Source organism: Homo sapiens, chromosome 5 (assembly GCF_000001405.40).
Source record: "Homo sapiens chromosome 5, GRCh38.p14 Primary Assembly".
In the NCBI taxonomy this organism is placed as follows: domain Eukaryota; kingdom Metazoa; phylum Chordata; class Mammalia; order Primates; family Hominidae; genus Homo; species Homo sapiens.
Genome location: NC_000005.10, coordinates 151,637,193 through 151,657,286, shown reverse-complemented (window position 1 = coordinate 151,657,286; position 20,094 = coordinate 151,637,193). Strand labels below are relative to the sequence as shown.

At 43.9% G+C, this 20,094-nt stretch overlaps 2 long non-coding RNA genes across 3 annotated transcripts; one reads left to right on the top strand and one right to left on the bottom strand.

The window, feature by feature from the left end:
• LOC105378231 (uncharacterized) lies at positions 1,838-19,347 on the bottom strand. Of its 2 annotated transcripts, none has more exons than XR_944417.3 (2): positions 19,211-19,347; positions 1,838-3,253 (listed from the first exon to the last, which is right to left on the bottom strand). It is a non-coding gene; the product is annotated as an uncharacterized LOC105378231 (long non-coding RNA). The 2 variants fall into 2 exon arrangements; XR_944416.3 differs by lacking the exon at positions 19,211-19,347 and adding an exon at positions 4,862-5,032.
• LOC124901116 (uncharacterized) lies at positions 2,782-5,720 on the top strand. Its single transcript, XR_007059007.1, has 2 exons — positions 2,782-2,821; positions 4,986-5,720. It is a non-coding gene; the product is annotated as an uncharacterized LOC124901116 (long non-coding RNA).

Sequence of the window (20,094 nt, the reverse complement as noted above, 5' to 3'; positions counted from 1 at the left end):
CAAAGTCTGTCCTGCCTCCAGGCCTTTGCACTCGCTGTCCCCTCTGGAACTGCACTGTTTCCCCAGCTTTAGTCCTGCCTTTTCTGCACCCTCTGCTTCTCAGTTCAGATGTCTCCTTCTCAGAAAGGCTTTGCTGCCTGCCCCTCTCACTCCCATCTCTCCTTCATACCAATGACCACAAGCTGTAATTATTATCTTGTTTATTTGCTTTTGTTCCCGAACAACTTTCACCCCCTCCCAGTCTGCCCCACCAAACTACAAAATGTAAGTTCCATGAGGACAGAGACCTGGTGTCTTCTGCTCATTGCTGTGTCTCCAGGTCTGAGCACTTGATACATACTAAATGCTGAGCAAGTTGTGTTAAGAAAATGAATTAACTAATGAGAGGTTGGCAAGTCCAGAGTAGAAAAAGCCTGGAACCTAGGGATAGGACAGATGGATACTGGAGTCTGAGAAACCAAAAAGCTTTCAGAAGAACCCTGATGGGGCACAAGAATGGGCATCAGTTTTCTGAATCCGAGAGCACATGGATTTCTGTTCTCATTAGATTGGAGGTCCCAGAGTTATTAGACTCCATACCTCCTTTTAATAATAAATGGAGACATAGATAATGCAGTAGACCTCAAGTCGTAGAGCCATTCGTTGTGATCCTTGATTCATGACTCACTGTCATTGGTTGGTCTTTGCATGACTCTCTTTTGCTTTTATCTATCAGTCGATCAATCAATCTATCTGCTACCTATTTATCTATCAATCATCTATTTACCTATCAATCATCTATATCTGTCATCTATCAATTGTCTATTTATTATCTATATATCTATCTATTTATCATCTAGCCATTATCCATCAACCTGTCTATCTATCTATCTATCTATCATCTATCATCTTTCAAATAATATATTGAACACCCATGAGCCTGCCTCCCCACATGAGAACTGGAACAGTGGCGACACCTATGTTCATTCTCTATCCTGTCCGCTCTGTGACCACTTTCCTGAATTTTGTGTTTATCTTTCCCTTATGGTTTTTTTTTTTTTTTTTTTTTTTACGGAGTTTCACTCTTGTTGCCCAGGCTGGAGTGCAATGACACAATCTCGGCTCTCCGTAACCTCCGCCTCCTGGATTCTCTTGCCTCAGCCTCCCAAGTAGCTGGGATTACAGGCACGTGCCACCATGCCTAGCTAATTTTGTATTTTTAGTAGAGACGGGGTTTCTCCATGTTGGTCAGGCTGGTCTCGAACTCCTGACCTCAGGTGATCCACCTGCCTTGGCCTCCCAAAGTGCTGGGATTACAGGCATGAGCCACTGCGCCTGACCTATCCTTCCCTTATGTTTAACAATTAATATAATTCCCACATTTTCTAGTGATTAGGAAAAAATAATAATAAATATCACAGCAACATAAGCAAAAACACACCCACACATGCACCTGTATATATCTAAGCAATATGTTGTATCATTTTAGGTAATTTTAAAATTTATAACAAATGCTGTGTTTTTACATTGATAAAACACTTATAAATAATGTCCTGAGCCCTGCCCTTTTCACTCAACATTGCATTATGAGTTCAGGCTTATCCATATTGCTGTGTATAGCATATTACATTCATCTGCACTGCTGTATAAGATTTTGTTCGTGTTTGTACCACAATTTATTTATTTTCCTATTTATGAGTGGTTGGGTTTTCTTCTGTCATGAATAACTGCTACACATGCATTTATGAGTTTCTCTGGGGCCTATCTGCTAGGTAAATATACATCTAGGAGCGGAAGGAATTGTGGGGTTGTAGGAGTATCAGTCAGGGTCTAATCAGAAAAAACAGAAACCACTCTATGGATTTTCAGATACTTTTAATTTTGAAATAGTAACAGATTCACGAGAAGTTGCAAAAATAGTACAGAAAAGTACATGTACCTTTCCCCCATTTTCTCCTGATAATAATGTCTTAGATAGCTATAATACAGTATCAAAACCAGGTCACTGGTATTGGCACAATCCACAGACCTTATTCAGATTTCACCAGGGTTACATGCATTTGTTTGAGTATGTACATAGTTCTATGCACACATAAAACTTTATTACACGTAGATTTGTATAACCACCACCACAATCAAGATACAGAACTGTCCCGTCACCACAAAGATCCCTCTGGCTGCTTCTTTTTAGGTACACTGATTTCTTTCTCCAACCCCAACCCTGTCTTTAACCCTTGGCAACCACTAATCTGTTCTTCACCTCAATAATTTTGTCATTTCTAGAAGGTTATGTAAGTGGAATCATATAGTATGTAACAATGTGAGACTGGCTTTTTTAGTTGGTAAAATTCTCTTGTGGTCCGACAAAGTTGTTGCATGTATCAATAGTTTTTTCCTTTTTATTGCTGAGTAGTATGGTAATCAATAGCTGAGAAGCCTCACAGGAGGCAATGAGGCAATCCATAAATTAATAATAGCAGGAAGCTGTTACTACCCCTCCCCAGGACTAGAGAAACAAAAGGTTAGTGTCACCAGAGCCCAGGGCCAGGGTCACCTGGTAGAAGTTAGAATCATGGCTGGCTTTCCTGTGGGAACTGGACCCATCGGAGAGCTGTGGCCACCACAGGGGATGTTACCTGAGAGGAGAAGGGGAGGGTGCTGGTGAGAAACACCTTGGCTTCTCCCTTCTTTCCACCTTCCATTCTCTCTCTTTTATTAACTGAGCCCAACTGGAAGCAAGATGACATGGCTGCCGAGATCCTGCTGGAAAACTGAGGACATAAGGGCATAGCAAAGAGTGGATCTGAGGGCAAACAGACTCAGGACCTGCACAGCAGCCTATGTGAGTGTTTGATTTTGCAAGATAATGCCACACTTTTTCTAAGTGAGTGTCCTATGTCCTAATGCGTACCCTTATAAGCGATATGTAAGAGATCCCATGGATCTGTATGTTCTCCAATACTTGGATTGTCTAGCTATTAACATTTTGCCATTTTAGTGGACATAAAAGCTTATCTTATTGGGTCTTGATTTACATTTCACATGAGTTTGAACATCTCCATATGTTTGCTGGCCATGAGCATTTCTTCTTTTATAAAATGCTTTTTCTTTTGTCCATTTCTTTCTGTTGTTTTTCTTCTTTCTTGTTGATTTATAAGACTTCTTTATATATTCTTGGTAATAAACCTTTGCCAGTTGTAAATGTTGCAAATATCTCCTCCAGGTGTGCAGATTGTCTTTCCACTTTAAGTGAATACAAATATTTCATACTACTCTGCAATAAAATTCATAGACAAGATAAATTAAATTTAACAAATCAATATGATACCTTAACTGTAAAATGAAAGGAGAAATGCAAGTAGTTATCATAAAACATAACTTCGGCCGGGGGTGGTGGCTCACACTTGTGATCCCAGCACTTTGGGAGGCTGAAGCAGGCGGATCACCCGAGGTCAGGGGTTTGAGACAATCCTGGCCAACATGGTGAAACCCCATCTCTACTAAAAATACAAAAAATTAGCCGGGTGTGATGGCAGGGGCCTGTAATCCCAGCTACTCGGGACGCCAAGGCAGGAGAATTGCTTGAAACCAGGAGGCAGAGGTTGCAGTGAGCCAAGATTGTGCCACTGCACTTCAGCCTGGGTGACAGAGCAAGACTCCATCTAAAAATAAAAATAAAAATAAAACAAAACTTTTCAGTATGTAAATGCTGAGGCATGACTTCTTTAGAAGATATAATGAAATTGTCAGATGTGTATGCCTACTTAGAAGAATAAAGTTTAGATTTAAGAGAATAGATGGAGCAGAAGTCATACCCATCTAGGAAGTACAGACAAAAAAAGATCAGAGGTATGGATTAAGGTAAAGAACAGACCCGACTTATTCATGTATACTAACAGAGGAAGGGTAATAAGGTTAACTGAGAAGGGAATGGCATACCAAAAGAAATTACAAAGTGTGGAAGAAGGGAAGATGAGGAGAGGTGTGAGCATTGCAAATGAGTTGGGCCTTGTGTATAAGCATAGGGTCAAAATCTTGAGCTTTAGTGACACTTGAGGACTTGGAGCCACTCATACTGTCGTGGAGGCCCATAGCAACTCCCCACATGTCCAAGATACACTTGGCCTCTGATTCTTCAAAACACTTGGAGACCATATCCTTTAGGAGGTGATGGGGACCACAAGATGATTGAGGGAAAAAAGAAAAAGAAAAATTACACTATAAGGGGCATAGAGAATTTATGTGGTAGATATCTGGGGACAGTATCAGTCAGGCTGAAAAAAAACAGGCAACCAAAAGATACATAAATAAGAACATAATTTTTCACAATATAGCTTTCTTATTGTGCTACCAAAAATTTAAAAACATAAAACATGGCAATAATATATATTTTAAACAGCCTTCATAAATGAAATAAAGTGTCTGTATTTCATATATCTTTGTGCTAATTTAGTAATATTTAGTTCTCCATCTGTTAAACAGAAGTCTCAGAGCTCCTTGGTTACATACTCGCAAAGAGTTATGGCTACAAATGCAGATGGACACAAGTGGGTTGAAAAGGTGATTCCCACACAAGTGGCACTGGTGACATGATTTTGTGAGATGGTGAACAACTCTTGCTCTGGACCAAGCTAAGTTCAAGCATCCCTTGATTTACAGGGTCTTTGCAATTCAATATATCTTAAATGCAAAACAACAACAAAAACAAGCCAGGTGTGGTGGCACCAGCCTGTAGTCCCAGGTGCATGGGAGGCTGAGGTGGGTGGATCTCTTGGGCCTGGGAGTTGGAGGCTGCTGTGAGGTATTATCATGCCACTGCACTCCAGCCTGGGCAACAGAGACCATCTCTAAACACAGCAAAACAACACAAAACAGCACAAACCCAAACCACTTTGTTGATGTTTGTAAAGGGGAGTTCGTTCCAAGCTCAGATCATCTGTTTATTGGAAAGCCATGCAGGAGGTGAGACAATTCTTCACTGTGCACAACTGTCTCACCCACTGCAGGATGTCGAGCTTCTCCAGCTCCTGCCCCACCAACGGCCAGTTAGAACACTTTACTGGAAGCTTACCGAGCGCTACTGGCAGAGACCAGCAGGGGGAAGCCTGGCTCAAGGAATGAAAACTCCTGAGCCCCATGCTCCCAAGCCTGGAGGAGCAGCAGCATCAGCTAAAAGGTTCTCAGGACATTGAAGGAGTGAGCTTCACTTCACCACCCACACCCACGCTACCACTATGCAGGTGGGGAAACTGAGTCTCAGAAAAGAGAAGGAATTTGTCATTTGCTTATTATCTACTTTTAGTGGTGCAGCCAGAAAAGGAATCCAATAGGCAGAAGCCCAAAAACCTAGAATGTCATCATCCCTGAGCACTGACAGTTTCATACCCCCAGTTCTCAGCCATTGGACAGATGGAAAGGAGGCAGAGCCCTCTCTGCCCTAAGTCTGGTTGTTGAGCTTAGAAGAGAAGGCAGTGCGCAAAAGTCAAAAGAGACAAGTCAGGAGACCTGGTCTGGTTCCAGTCCCAAAAGTAACTGGATGACTACATGATCCCAGCTGAGCAAATTCCATCTCAATTTTCTTTTTGCAATGAAAGTAATACACATGTGATAAAAATCTACCAAACAAAAACTTCAAACTGTGCATAAGGGTGTAAAATGAAGTAAATTAACTATGAATATTTCTTGCATATCTTTCTGGAAATATACATATTAAACTATAAAAATAAAATAATACATAAGCATATACACATTTTTTTGTTGGATCAGTGGGATAACACAATATATTTGATGTGCTTTTATTTATTTGTTTGTTTTTTTTTTTTTTGAGACATGGTTTCACTCTGTCACCCAGGCTGGAGTGCAGTAGTGCAAACACGGGCTCACTGAATCCTCGACCTCCTGGGCTCAAGTGATCCTCCTGGCTCAGCCTCCTGAGTAGCTGAGACTACAGGTTGTGTGCCACCACACCCAACTAATTTTTTTTTTGTAGAGATGGGATCTCACTATGTTGCCCACTCTGGTCTTGAACTCCTAGGGGCAAGGAATCCACCCGCCTTGGCCCCACAAAATGCTGTGATTACAGGAGTGAGCTACCTTTCCCAGCCATGCTTTGTTTTTAATTTTAAATATCACTCATAGGCTGGGCACGGTAGCTCACGCATGTAATCCCAGCATGTTGGGAGGCCAAGGTGGGCGGATCACTTGAGGTCAGGAGTTGAAGACTGGCCTGGCCAATATGGTGAAACCCCTATCTCCACTAAAAATACAAAAATTAGTCTGGGCATGGTAGCTCACACCTGTAATCCTGGCACTTTGGGAGGCCAAGTGGGGGTGGATCACCTGAGTTCAGGAGTTGGAGACCAGCCTGGCCAACATGGTGAAACCCTGTCTCTACTAAAAATACAAAAAATTAGCTGAGCGTGATGGCAGGTGCCTATAATCCCAGCTACTCAGGAGGCTGAGGCAGAAGAATCGCTTGAACCAGGGAGGGGGAGGTTGCAGTGAGCTGAGACTGTGCCATTGCACTCCAGCCTGGGCAACAAGAGCAAAACTCCATCTCAAAAAAAAAAAAATACAAAAATTAGCTGGGCATGGTGGCAGCCACCTGTAATCCCAACCACTTGGGAGGCTGAGGCAGGAGAATCGCTTGAACCTGGGAGGCGGAGGTTGCAGTGAGCCAAGATCATGCCACTGCACTCCAGCCTGGGCGATAGAGCGAGACTCCATCTCAATCAATCAATCAATCAATATCACTCATAATTTTTCCATAGTAATGAGATATATTTGCCTCCTTCCTTCTGGTGGCTGCATGGTATTTTGTAATACCAATGTAGCAGTTTAATGCTGCACTTACTGCTAAGCACACCCTTTACTGTCTCTTGAGGTGTCTTGCACTGACAAAGCACACTACAGAGGACAACTTGGTACATACATCTCTGTACACATGTACAAGGGTTTCTGTGGGATGAAGTTCCAGAAGTGGAATTGCTGGGCCAAAGAATGTATGTGTGTCTAAAACATTGACAAATGTTGCCAAAATTTCCTTCAAAATGCATCACTTTTAACTTCCTCTGGCACAGGAGAAGGCCATCTCATCTTCTGGTCAGCATTGGGAAGTACTCATCTTGGGGGCCTTGGTCTTTTCATCCATGAAATAAGAGGCTTCGCTGGGCACAGTGGCTCATGTCTGTTATTCCAGAACTTTGGGAGGCCGAGGTGGGAGGATTGCTTGAGCCCAGGAGTTTGAGACCAACCTGGGCAATATACTGAGATACTGTCTGTACAAAAAATTTAAAAAAAATTAACTGAGCATGGTGGCATGCACCTGAAGTCCCAGCTACGTGGGAGGCTGAGCTGGGAGGATTGCTTGCACCTCACAGGAGGAGGCTGCAGTGAGCCAAGATTGTGCCACTGCAGTCCAGCTTGGGCAACAGAGGGAGGCCCTGTCTCAAATAAATAAATAAATAAATAAAAAGAAATAAGAGGGTTAGATTGGATGATGCTGAAGCTTCCTTGCATCTGTAACTTTACATCTGCAACTCTTTCCACTAAGTTGTCCAGCTTGAGGAGTAGAATGGGGCCATGAACTTAAGCAGTTCATTTCTTCTCTTCTCCCCTTCCTTCCCTTCCACGTTCTTCTTTCTCCCTGTCTAGTCCTAGGAGAGTGGAAAAGGCATGAGGCCACCCTCCTCAGGCCAGGAAACCTAGTTCCAGAGGCGGCCCTGGATCCAAACCAGTGTGGGAACCTACCTAAGTCCTTCCCTCCCACCCTATCTGTTTTCCCACCTGGTTTAGCAACTGCCTTCCCTCCTAGGGCTCCAACTTCATAAGATGTTGAGATAACATCTTATGAAGTCTTTTGCCAAAAACATGCCTTTTTCTGCCCCTGGAAGGAATTAGTTTCACTTGTTCTGAAGAAGAGTCTCTGCAGGTACTTGTTACTCCTGCCAAGAGACCTGAGAGGCCCCAAATTCCTCAGCACCCGGATCCCAGATTCGCTTAATCTGACGCTGCTCGCTTCCAAGGGGCGCTGAGATGATGGAGTTACAAGCTGCTTAAAGGCTTACAGAGTGTCAGCTTGAAGGGAGGAGAGAGTGAGTGAGCGTCTGCCTCCACTTGGCTTGGCCTCTCGGATGAAAGAGCTTGGGAGAAGGGAGTGTTTACAGAGATCAATAAAGACACCCTGGAGGGGCCAGCACTCCCATTGGGCTTCTCCAAGAAGATTTAGGATTGACATCATTAAAGCCCCTAGGGAAGACTCTTCCCAACCCAAAGTCTCTTAACACTAGATTCTCAGATCCTGAAAGCACATAGGGCTTGGGAAGAACTATAGGGACTGCTCCACCTTGCACAGCTCTGGAGGTCTTCATTTACATTGATTACAAAGTGAATGGTGTGCCAAAGAGGCACAAAGTGGGCCAGGTCCAGGGGCTCACGCCTGTAATCTCGCACTTTGGGAGGCTGAGGTGGGCGGATCACCTGACGTCAGGAGTTTGAGACCAGCCAACATGGGGAAACCCTGTCTCTACTAAAAATACAAAAATTAGCTGGGTGTGGTGGCACACACTTGTAATCCCAGCTACTCGGGAGCCTGAGGGAGGAGAATTGCTTGAACCTGGGGGGCGGAGGTTGCAGTGAGCTGAGATCTCACCACTTCCCACCAGCCTGGGTGAAAGAGAAAAACTCCATCTCAAAAAAAAAAAAAGAGGTACAAAGTGGTGCTGGTGACAATATTACAGCAGCTAGCATGATCATTTAAAAAGGTACAATTAACAAAAACAAAACAAAAACCACCAATGACTTTTTGTTACACTCAAAACAAAATCCCTAAAGCTTTTCATGATTCAACCCTATTTTTCTCTTGAATCTCATATCCTGCAGTAGCTAAGTTCCAGACACATTGACCTTATTTCTGGTCTTCAAATGTACCCAGTGGCCTAGCTGGTTCCTGCCTCAGGGCCTTTGCGCAAGCTGCCTTTAGCTCTTCCCAAAGCTGGCTTCTTCTTGTTAGGAAGTGTTCTCCTAAAACACCACTTTCTCAGGGAGGGAGCCTCTAACCAGTCAGTCTAGAATGGTCAGTCGGTGTCTCCAAGGTTGCTCTGTAAAATGGGAGTGGTAATCCTCATCTTACCTTCCTCCCTGGGCTCTTTGTATTCATTCCCACCTTATAGCTTAAGTTCCATCTGCAAGGAACTTGTGCACCCCCCTTTTCTCTTTTTTTTTTTTTTTTTTGAGACGGAGTTTCATTCATGTTGTGGTCCAGGCTGGAGTGCAGTGGCACCATCTCGGCTCACTGCAACCACTGCCTCCCAGGTTTAAGTCATTCTCCTACCTCAGCTTTTCGAGTAGCTGGGATTACAGGCGCCCCCCGACCACCCCCAGCTAATTTTTGCATTTTTAGTAGAGATGGGATTTCAACATGTTGGCCAAGCTGATCTCAAACTCCTGACCTCAGGTGATCCGCCCACCTTGGCCTCCCAAAGTGCTGGGATTACAGGCCTGAGTCACTGCTCCAGGCCATTGTGCACCTTTTGAATACATTGTTCGTTTCCGTAGCACATTATTTCCAAACCACTTACTTCACTCATGCTTGTATCCACAGAACCTGCACCATGCCGAGCACTTCAGAGATACTCAAAAATATTTGTTGAACACTGAATCAAGTCAGGGCAGTCTGGACACCCTGCAAACTGTGAAGTGCCCTACCTCCATGATAGCCACCACAAATAGCAGAGAAACAGAGTGAGTCAGGAGGAACCTCATGTCTCCTAGCTTCATGGGTAGTTCTTAAAAAATAGAGAACTGCCTCATAAATTGTGAGCCCGGTGGCAATAACTCAATGAAACCCCATCACACAACAAAACTGAGGTTCTCCCAAAAGGGAAGATGACATGGCACATGAGTCATTGAGTTGATTAAGAAGTCAGTTCTCACCCCTGCTAGGCCAGTGCACCCCAGTGTCTGCTGAATAGAAAATGAATAGAGGGCCAGGCACTAAACGCCTATAATCCCAGCACTTTAGGAGTCCAGGGCGGGCAGATTGCTTGAGCCTAGGAGTTTGAGACCAGCCTGGGCAACCTAGTGAGAGCCCATCTCTTAAAAAAAAATATAGCCAAGCTTGGTGGCACACTCCTATTGTCCCAGCTACTCTGGAGGCAGAGGTGGGAGGATTGCTTGAGCCAGGGAGACAGAGGTTGCAGTGAGCTGTGATGGTACCACTGCACTCCAGCCTAAGCGACAGAGGGAAATCCTGACTCAAAAAAAAGAAGGAAGAAAAAAAAGAAAGAAAGAAAGAAAAAGAAAAGAAAATCTTACATACCTTAGGTGACAATGTATAGAAAAACTTAAGATTTACTGTAAGAGCAGAGGAGATAACCTACTTCCATCTGTCCCTCAGAAGCTGCCACATGCCTGTAATTTCCAGCCATTATCCTCTCATGAGTCCTGGGTGTGCTGTCCACAGAGGACCCCTATGAAAAAGAACTTTAGCAACATCTCATGCCTTAGAAGAGGTTGTTTCTCCAATAAGCCATCTGAAAAAGTAAAGAATGGGGTCCTGAAGGGGAAGGGAGTTCCAGGCGATGGTGGTGTTTGTTATATAGGGGGAAGTTTAGGGGTCTGGGCTCGTGGGTAAGAGAGTGGGAAGGAGGTGTGGTATCCATGCCAACCTCTGCCAATCTCATTTTGCCCCAGGCCACCCTCACACTTGAACCACAGAGAACTGTTCAAATGCCAACTAACAAACACAAGCAGCAACAGAGAGCTGTGTGTGCTGGGGATAACCAGTCCCACGGGTTTGGGTGTAGCGGTGGTTTGGGTGTAGCGGGAAGCAATGCTTGGGTTCTGGAACAGATGGCTTTTAGGAAGCTGAGGAGGAGAGAGAGGGCTACCCCCTACCTCCCTGTGCCACCCTGCCCACCACCCCTGCAACCAGGGCTTGTTAGCCACAGGAATACTTGGCATCAGAGGCACCTCCTGGGGGACTAGACTACACAATGTGAGCCACCGTCCTTTCATCTTGCCTGCCTGAAGGGTGGGGTGGGGTGGACCCAGGGGGCTGCCTCTAGTGCTTGGACAGCTGGGATGGGCAGAAAATGAGCAAGTTCAGCAAGGCTCTGATATTCTAGCTAACACACTCAGAGCTGTCCACACCCTGCTCCCTGCGGTCAACAACTGAAAATACCTACAAGAAACCCAATGCAACAAATAATGGCACCAGTAGAATGGGACCAGATAGTCCCTGGTTCTGTTGGAAAGGTTTGTTCCATTCATCCTCTGCTGCTTCAGGGATGGAAATGAAGCCCAAGAACGTTGCCGGAGCTTAGTTTGAAGGGTGCTGAATAGGCCTCCAAAGTGCATGTAATTTTGCCTTCCTCTCTCCTTAGTCAAAGCCTATCTGCTTGTAAAGGCTCAGCTAAAGTCCTTTCCGGTCCACAGCAAATTTCTGCCCTCTGAGCTCCGGTGGCTGTTTTCTTCACCTGCGTGTTACATAGGCCACCCTGTGTCACCATTGATTATGACATGTCTCCCCAACTCATCCTCAAGCTCCTTGAAGTCGGGGGGATCACGGTGCCTTCTTTTATACCCTGGCACAGTGCTGAGCACACAGTAGGAGGCCCTGATCCAAGTCTGGAGCTGGATGGAAACTAAGTCACTGTAATTGTTCACTCCATTCTTGTTATAGATGAAGAATCCAAGACCCAGAGAGCACCAGGGGCTTGCACAAGGGAGAGCTCACCAGGGCTGGAGGTATTTGTTGAACAAAGATTGAAGGATAATGGCATTCCAGCGTGGTATGTCCACACTGGCAGGAATGGACACAGGAATTTCAACTGATGAGCCTGATATGTCCTTAAACTTTCAGATAATTTGCTTTTTAAGAAATTAGCTGGCTAAGTGCGGTGGCTCATGCCTGTAATCCCAGCACTTTGGGGAGGTTGAGGCAGGTGGATCACCTGAGTTTGGGAGTTCGAGACCAGCCTGACCAACATGGAGAAACCCCTTCTCTACTAAAAATACAAAATTAGCCGGGCGTGGTGGTGCATGCCTGTAATCCCAGCTACTCGGAAGGCTGAGGCAGGAGAATCGCTTGAACCCAGGAGGCAGAGGTTGCAGTGAGCCAAATGGTGCCATTGCACTCCAGCCTGGGCAACAAGAGTGAAACTCCATCTCAAAAAAAGAAAAAAAAAAGAGAAAGGAATCAAATCCTGTTTTAGCTGTTGGGGGTATTGTGGTTAAAGTAATTATATAGCACATCTTTTCTTAAAAGTGAATGATCAGTCAGGATTCTCTGGTTGTGAGCATCAGAAATTGACTTCAAGTCATTTAGCAGAAAAAATAATTACTGAAAGGATGTGGGCTTGCTTGCAAAATGGAAGGAAGAATTGAGACACCAGGCTTGGAAATGGCTAGGAGCTGGGCAACTCTGGAGATCCAGGTAGAGGAACCCCTCAATAGAGTCAACAAAGACACAGGTGGGATCAACTTCAGTCATCTTCTCCCTTTGTACCTTTGTAAGGTTCAAAGTCCTTAGATAGAAAGGCCCAGCTTGGGTCATGGACCCACCTCTTGACCAGAACTGGCAACATACCTTGACTGACAATTCTACCAAGATCACAGGCACTGGGAAGATAGGCAGTTCATCAAAAGGAAATCAAGGTGCTATTACCAGAGTGGGGGGAAGGTGGGGAACAATACACACCTGCTGGTCCCACACTTTAGTTTATTGGTTTAGAACAGGGATTAAAAAATTGCAGCCTATTGCCTATTTTTACAAATTTTTGCAAAAGTTTTATTGGAATACTGCTACATCCATTTGGTTGCTTTCACACTACAATGGCAGAGTTGAGAAGCTACGACAGAGACTATGGTGGGCAAAGCCTTTAGGAACAGAGAGTAAATATCTAATATTTTAGGGAAAAGTTTGCTGACTCCTGGTTTAGAATGCTGTGCCACCTCCATTAGTCCCCCATGGCCTGATCTTGAATAAGTCTCTTTATTCATTTTTTAATTTTAATTTTATTCACATCCATGCATGCCTAGATGGGGTCTTTATTCAGAAGATTTTATTTACTCATTTGTAAAATGGTGAGTTTGAGCTGTGCATTCTTCCCAGCTTTCCAGCTAACTTAATTTAGCCCAATTGTTCTATAATTAAGCTAGTACAAGTAGTTTTTTATAAAATAGGCTTTATACCCATTAGGATAGCTATTATTGGGTGGCAGGAAAGAAAGTAACAAGTATTAACAAGGATGTGAAAACATTGGACCCTCTGTGCATTGTTAATAGGAATGTAAAATGATGCAGCCACTATGAAAAACAGCATGGCAGTTCCTCAAAAAATTTAACATGGAATTACCATATGATCCTGCAATTCCACTTCTGGGTGCATACACATCTGAAAGAGATATTCGTACACTCATGTTCATAGGATCACTATTTACAATAGCCAAAATGTGGAAGCAACCTGTCTCTATTGGCAGGTGAATGGATAAATGAAATGTGTTACACGTATACAGTGGAATATTATTCTGCTCTAAAAAGGAAGAAAATTCTGACACATGCTACCATGTGGATGGACCTTGAAGACATTAGGCTAAGTGAAAGAAGTCAGTCACAAAAAGACAAATACTGTATGACTCCGCTTCTATGAGGTGCCTAGAGAAGTTGAATTCACGGATATAGAAAGAAGAATGGTTGTTACCACGGGCTAGGAAGAGGGGGCAAGAGAGTTGCTTAATGGGTATAGAGTTTCAGTTCCGCAAAGCGACAAAGTTCTAGACATCTGTTTTACAACAACTATTCAACCGAAATAATTTTTAATTGTGGCAAAATATACAAAAACTGCTATGTATATTTTACCACAATTTAAAAAAAGTTTTAAGTCTCTTTTTTAAGAGATGAAGTCTTGCTATGTTGCCCAGGCTAGAGTCCAGTGGCTATTCACAGGCATGATCATAACATACTACATTCTTGAACTCCTGGGCTCAAGCAATCCTCCTGCCTCAGCCTCCCAAGTAGCTGGAACTACAGGCATGCACCCCTTTGTCTAGCTTGGAAAAGCCTTTAAAGCTATTATATAAATTATCAAATTACGGAAGCTCCATGAGGTCAGGGAGTTTTGTCTGTTTGTGCACTGCTGTATTTCCAGCCCCTAGACTGGTGCCTGGCAATGGAGTAGGTGCTCATTACATTTAAGTAGTAAGTGAATCCTGGCCACTTTGCAATGATGTTTCACAACTCTTGTAAGTGTGAGGGTGACATCGTACCCACTGTTTGAAGGTCAAGCCAAACCCCAGAGGGACCTTATGGGATTTGCCTGTTCCACTATTTCCTGCCACCGGCTGAAGTGCCCCAGCTCATGCCAGGGCAGAGGAGCCAACAATGCATAGGCTGTGACAACTGAGAACAAATCAACACCAGACCTCACTGGCATTCTTATAGATAACAAATAAATAGCCATGTCATAAAACACTCTTAGTTAATGATATAATTTGGCTGTGTGTCCCCACCCAAATCTCATGTCAAATTGTAATCCCCAGTGTTGAAAGAGGGGCCTGGTAGGAAATGATTGAATCGTGGGGCCAGCCTTTGCCCTTGCTGTTCTTGTGATAGAGATCTGGTTGTTTGAAAGTGTGCAGCACCTACCCCTTTGCCCTCTCTTTCTCCTGCTAGCCATGTGAATAGGTGTCTGCTTCTCCTCTGCCTTCTGTCATGATTGTAAGTTTCCTGAGGCCTCCCCAGAAGCAGAAGCCTGTACAACCCATAAAAATGTGAGCCAATTAAATCTTTTTTCTTTATAAATTACCCAGTCTCAGGTATGTCTTTATAGCAGTGTGAAAATGGACTAATACAGTTAATTTGCTCTGTCAGACACAAATACATCAAATGAGATCTGAAATTAAGACAAAAACTAACAAACAAACAAACAAACAAAAAACTATGTTCAAGAGAAACAATTCTTTTTTTTTTTTTTTTCTGAGACAGAGTCTCACTCTGTTGGCCAGGCTAGAGTGCAGTGGCCTGATCTCTGCTCACTGCAAACTCCGCCACCCAGGTTCAAGCAATTCTCCTGTCTCAGCCTCCTGAGTAGCTGGGATTACAGGCGTGTGCCACCACACCCGGCTAATTTTTTGCATTTTTAGTAGAGATGGGGTTTCACCGTGTTGGCCAGACTGGTCTGGAACTCCTGATCTCAAGTGATCTGCCCGCCCAAAGTGCTGGGATTACAGGCATAAGCCACTACACCCAGTCACAATACTTCTTGTTTCTGCTATAATAACTCTGTTTTGTCCATTTCCTTCTCTTTTACAAGACACTCAAATCTGGAGTGAGGGGAGCTGTGATTTTCCTTTGTCCTTTTTTCTGCATTCTTGCATAATAGTGGGAGCTCCTCAAATGACAGTATATTAGAGCTAGAAGAGCTCTTTTTTCAAACTTTCACTCTGGGAAGTTTCAAACATATGCAAAGGTAGACAAGATGGCATAAGGAATCCACATGCCCAGCTCCTAGCTTCAGCAGTGATCGATTCACATCAAATTTTGTTTCATCTTTGCTCATCCCCCTCCAATCCTTTTTATTCTTCTGATTCAGAAACACAAGTAGACCTCCTATCTTTTTTAAAAAAAATAGTTAATGTAAACTTTTTAATTGAAGAAAAATATGCATACAGAAAAATGCACAAATCATAAGTGTACAACTCAATGAATTTTCACAAACTGAGCACATCAGTGTAACACACACCCAGTTTAAGAAACACAACATAACCAGCTCTCCAGAACTCCTCTCAGGTCTCCTGGAAGGGCTCTTACTAATTAATTTCTGGTCCAATATTTTCATTTTGCAGTGGAGAAAACTAAGGCCCAATGGGGAAATAACTGTCCCACGAGGACAAAGTTCAAGGCCCTACTACTACTTTAGAAGCAGACCTGGAAGTGCAATGACTCCCCCACGGAACATATCCTTCTGAAAGGCACTTGAAGTCAAGGTACGAGCTAGCCCTGTCACTTGCTGGGATGGTTCCTCCAACCTGGCCATTCCCAAGGTTCTGTATGGACCTCGCCCTTGAGCACACACTCCTGAGAAGCCTCACATGATTGTGCTAGAAGGGCCCTTAGAGATCTGATCATCTTATGGTTTAAAAAAAAAAAAACAGAAAAAGAAAAAAACCCATAAAACATTATTCTTAAAATTCCCTAAATTAGTAGTTTGTTATTGCAAAAAAAATGCTAAAAATAGGGAAACATACTAAGTAAATGTAGAGTATTCCCTTGGCTGGATTTGACTTAATCAAGGATACAAGTGGCTACATGGTAGATGGGCTTTACCTGTGTGTATGTGTGTAGGAGTGTGTGTATTTTTTTTTTTTAAACAGCTGGAAGACAGAGCTGTTTCATTTCCTATTCTCATCCTTGGCTTTCTCTCATAGTCACTGTTTTGCTGCCAAAGGCTGCAGGAAAAGGAAACAGGAAAGGGGTAGGGTGATTGCCCCTGGTTATGTACCACAAGAGCCCAGCCTTCTTGTTAACTTTCGGTGTGGTGCCTTGGTATGTGATAGAAACACAGAGCAACAAGTGTATTCTCAGAAGGTTAGAGGGGGATGCAACCTTGGTGTTCAACCAAGCAATCCTTTGTGTGGATGAAGATGGGGAAAACCAAGGCAGCTATGGAATTTCCTGGATCTCTCCCACAAGAGCTCAGATTAAACCCAAGTGTCCTTTCCCCCAGTGCTGTGCTCTTTGTACCATCCTCCCCTAGACTACTTGAGTTCCAGGTTAATCCCAATTTTTCTACTTATATCTGTTGTTTCTTAAACATAGCTGTGTGTTTGTTTTGTTATAGGTGTCAATTTGGAGTTTTTGAAATGGGCTCATTGTGGCAATAACTTAGAGAACCTGCCCTTGAGGAGCTAAGTCTGGCTAAGACAATCATGACTAGTAAGCATGTGCAGTAGTCAGAATTTGTTGGGTTGCAAGTGACAGAAAGTGAAATCAAATTAACTTAAGCACAAAGGGAATTCATTGGCTCATGTAATCAACAACTTGCAACTCCCAGCATGGCTGGATCAAGGGTCCTATCATTTCCATCTCTTAGCTCTGTTCGCTCTACATGTTTGCCTGTCTCCTGCTGCTTCTGAGCTCCTCCACATGGATGAGTGTGATGAGCTGAATGATGGCCCCCAAAGATGTCCATGTCCTGATCCCCAACCTGTGAATATGTTACCTTATGAGGCAAAAGTGATTCTGCATATGTGACCAAGTTAAGTATGAAATGAGATGATAAAATTATCTATGGGTGGGCCCAAAGTAATCACCAGGGTCCTTATAAGAGGTGGGTAGAGGGTCAGAGTAGAAGGAGATGTGATGATAGAAGCAGATGTGAGGGCTGGGCGCAGTGGCTCACACTTGTAATCCCAGCACTTTGGGAGGCCGAGGCAGGCGGATCACCTGAGGTCAGGAGTTTGAGACCAGCCTGGCCAACATGGCAAAGCCCTTTCTCTACTAAAAATATGAGAAATTAGCCAGGGGTGGTGGCAGGTGCCTGAAATCCAGTTACTAGGGAGGCTGAGGCAGGAGAATCGCTTGAACCCAGGAAGCGGAGGTTGCAGTGAGCCAAGATTGTGCCACTGCACTCCAGCCTGGGCAACAAGAGCGAAATGCCGTCTCAAAAAAAAAAAAAAAGAAGCAGAGGTGAGAAAGAGAGAGGGAGAGAGATGGAGTGGAGACAGAAGCCATGAGCTGAAGATTGTAGGGAGCCCAGAAGCTGAAAAAAAAATCAAGAAAATAGATTCTCCCCTAGAGCTTCCAGAAGGAACATAACCCTGCCAACACCTCTTTTTTTTTTTTTTTTTTAGGACTTCTACCTCCAGAACTATAAGACGATATATTTATGTTGTTTAAATCCACTGAATTTGTGGTCACTCGATACTGCAGCAATAGGAAACTAATATAAGGGCCTTACCGCTCCAGGTTTACATCTTCTCATTTACTAATCTAGTAGTCCGTGGGGGTGGAGGATGTTTCTTTCTCTCTAAGTCCCCACAGGATTCCCAGAGAAAGATTCTCTTTGGCCACAGCTGGTCCAAGGAACTGTCTCTTGTGGTACAGATCACTGGTGCCAAAATGGGAGGAAGAGAGCCAGCCCAGCCCAGGTTACATACCTGCAGTGGTGGTTTGGGTGGAGACAATGCGATGATGGGCCCCTCAGAATCAGTTGGAATGAGGAGGAGAAGGCCTGCTGGACAAATGGAAACAGCCCATATGCCCCGCAGTGGCAATATTCCAAGAGCAATGTAAGGAGCTCAAACCAAGGGCTGCATTAGGAGGTGCTGATGGCAGGAGAGAGGTGTGCAAACCAGAGGAGAAGTTGGCAGAATCGCTTAAAAGTTCTAGGTCCTTCAGAACCATGTGAGAATTTCTATTGCGACATTGCAGAGTTGTCAGTGTGCATACTGCTGGAGAAGACTTGATGGGGTGTGCGTGTGTGTGCATGTGTGGGTGGGTGTGCACAGGAGGTAGCAGAGTGCAGTGGTGAAGCTCAGGAATTATATTTTTATTTTTAGAGACAGAGTCTTACTCTGTTGCCCAGGCTGGAACGCAGTGGCTTTTCACAGGTAGTCAAAGCTCACTATAGTCTTGAACTCCTGGGGTCAAGGGATCCTCTCTCCTTAGCATTCTGAGTAGCTGGGACTACAGGTGCGCACCATCATGCCTGGCTCATCAGTAGTTTAGAACATGAAAAATCTGGCTTCTGTATTTCAGTTCTGCCACTTACTAGCTGAGCAATCTTGGGTAAGGTTCTTCGTCTCACCTAAGACTCAGACTCCTCATCTGTAAAATGGGGCCAATTGAAAACACTATGTCATGGGACCGTTGTGAAAATTAAATGAGATCAGGCATGTAAAGTGTCTAGCATGGTGTCTAGAACACAGTAAAGACCTCATTAATGGTAGCTATCATTATGATTATTTTGATTAAGGAGAAAAATCTCATAAAAGATTTTTGAGGGTGTGATTTGCTTTGTGTGCTCCTGGAAGGCAGAGCCAAGGTCAAAGGGTGGAAGTCATAGTTCAACATAAAGAAAAAGCTTTCTCTAGAGCTATGTGAAGACAGAACAGGCTGCCTGGGGGAGTGGTGAGCATCCAACCCTGGAGGTTCTCAGTACAGGTGGAGGGCCACTTAGAGGGGAAGCCACGGAGAGAACAGACATTAAATTGGAGATTGGAGTGATTACCTTTGCAGTTTCCTTCTGGCTCTGAGAATCTGTGGTTTTCTTCCCTCGGTAGGAGACTTCCGCATATAAGTTGGGCAGCTGTGATTTCAGTCACTCTCCAGGCTCTATCAAGTCCATATGCATTTGGGTTCTGACATGCCCTGCCTGGGATATCTTCCAGGTTTTAAGCTTCCAGCCCCAGAGCATGACTCTGTCCCTAACTTGTTCTACCGGAGCTTAGAGAGCAGAGGAGGCATTGGTTCAGTAACCACCTCAGGCTCAGTAACCACCTCAGGAATCCCATCTCAGACAAAGGCTTGGGAAAACAGCCTCTCCAGGTCCTGGCATCCTGTTAGATTGCTGCAAACAACAGCAGTTAGCATTTCTTGACCACTTTCTAAATGTGCGGCACTGTGCGAAGCTCTGGTACCAGCTAGAATTCAGTTCAACTGCATGGCAGAAGAGCCAAATCACCTTAACTTACACAGAAGGTTTGCTTTTCTTGTGTATAAGAGAAGTTTGGATGTAAGTAGTTGTGATTTGCTGTGATGATTTCATGCAATTATCAGAGACCCAACTCCTTTTATGCAGTTCTCTTTAGAGCAGCAGTTCCCCAAAGGGTCTCTGGTCAGGTAAGCTTGAGACACATTACATACTATAACCCCCTTTTAGAGATTCACAAATTGGCGCCGATGTGCTCTGGACCCTACTTTGTTGCCCTGGAGTGATTTACTGAGATAGATATCTATATCTATATCTATATAGATATAGATATAGATATAGATATAGATATATCTATATATATCTATATAGATATATATATAGATATAGATATATCTATATATATCTATATAGATATATATATTTGCTTTTTCACCCAGTTTAACTTGCTAGAAAAAAATTTA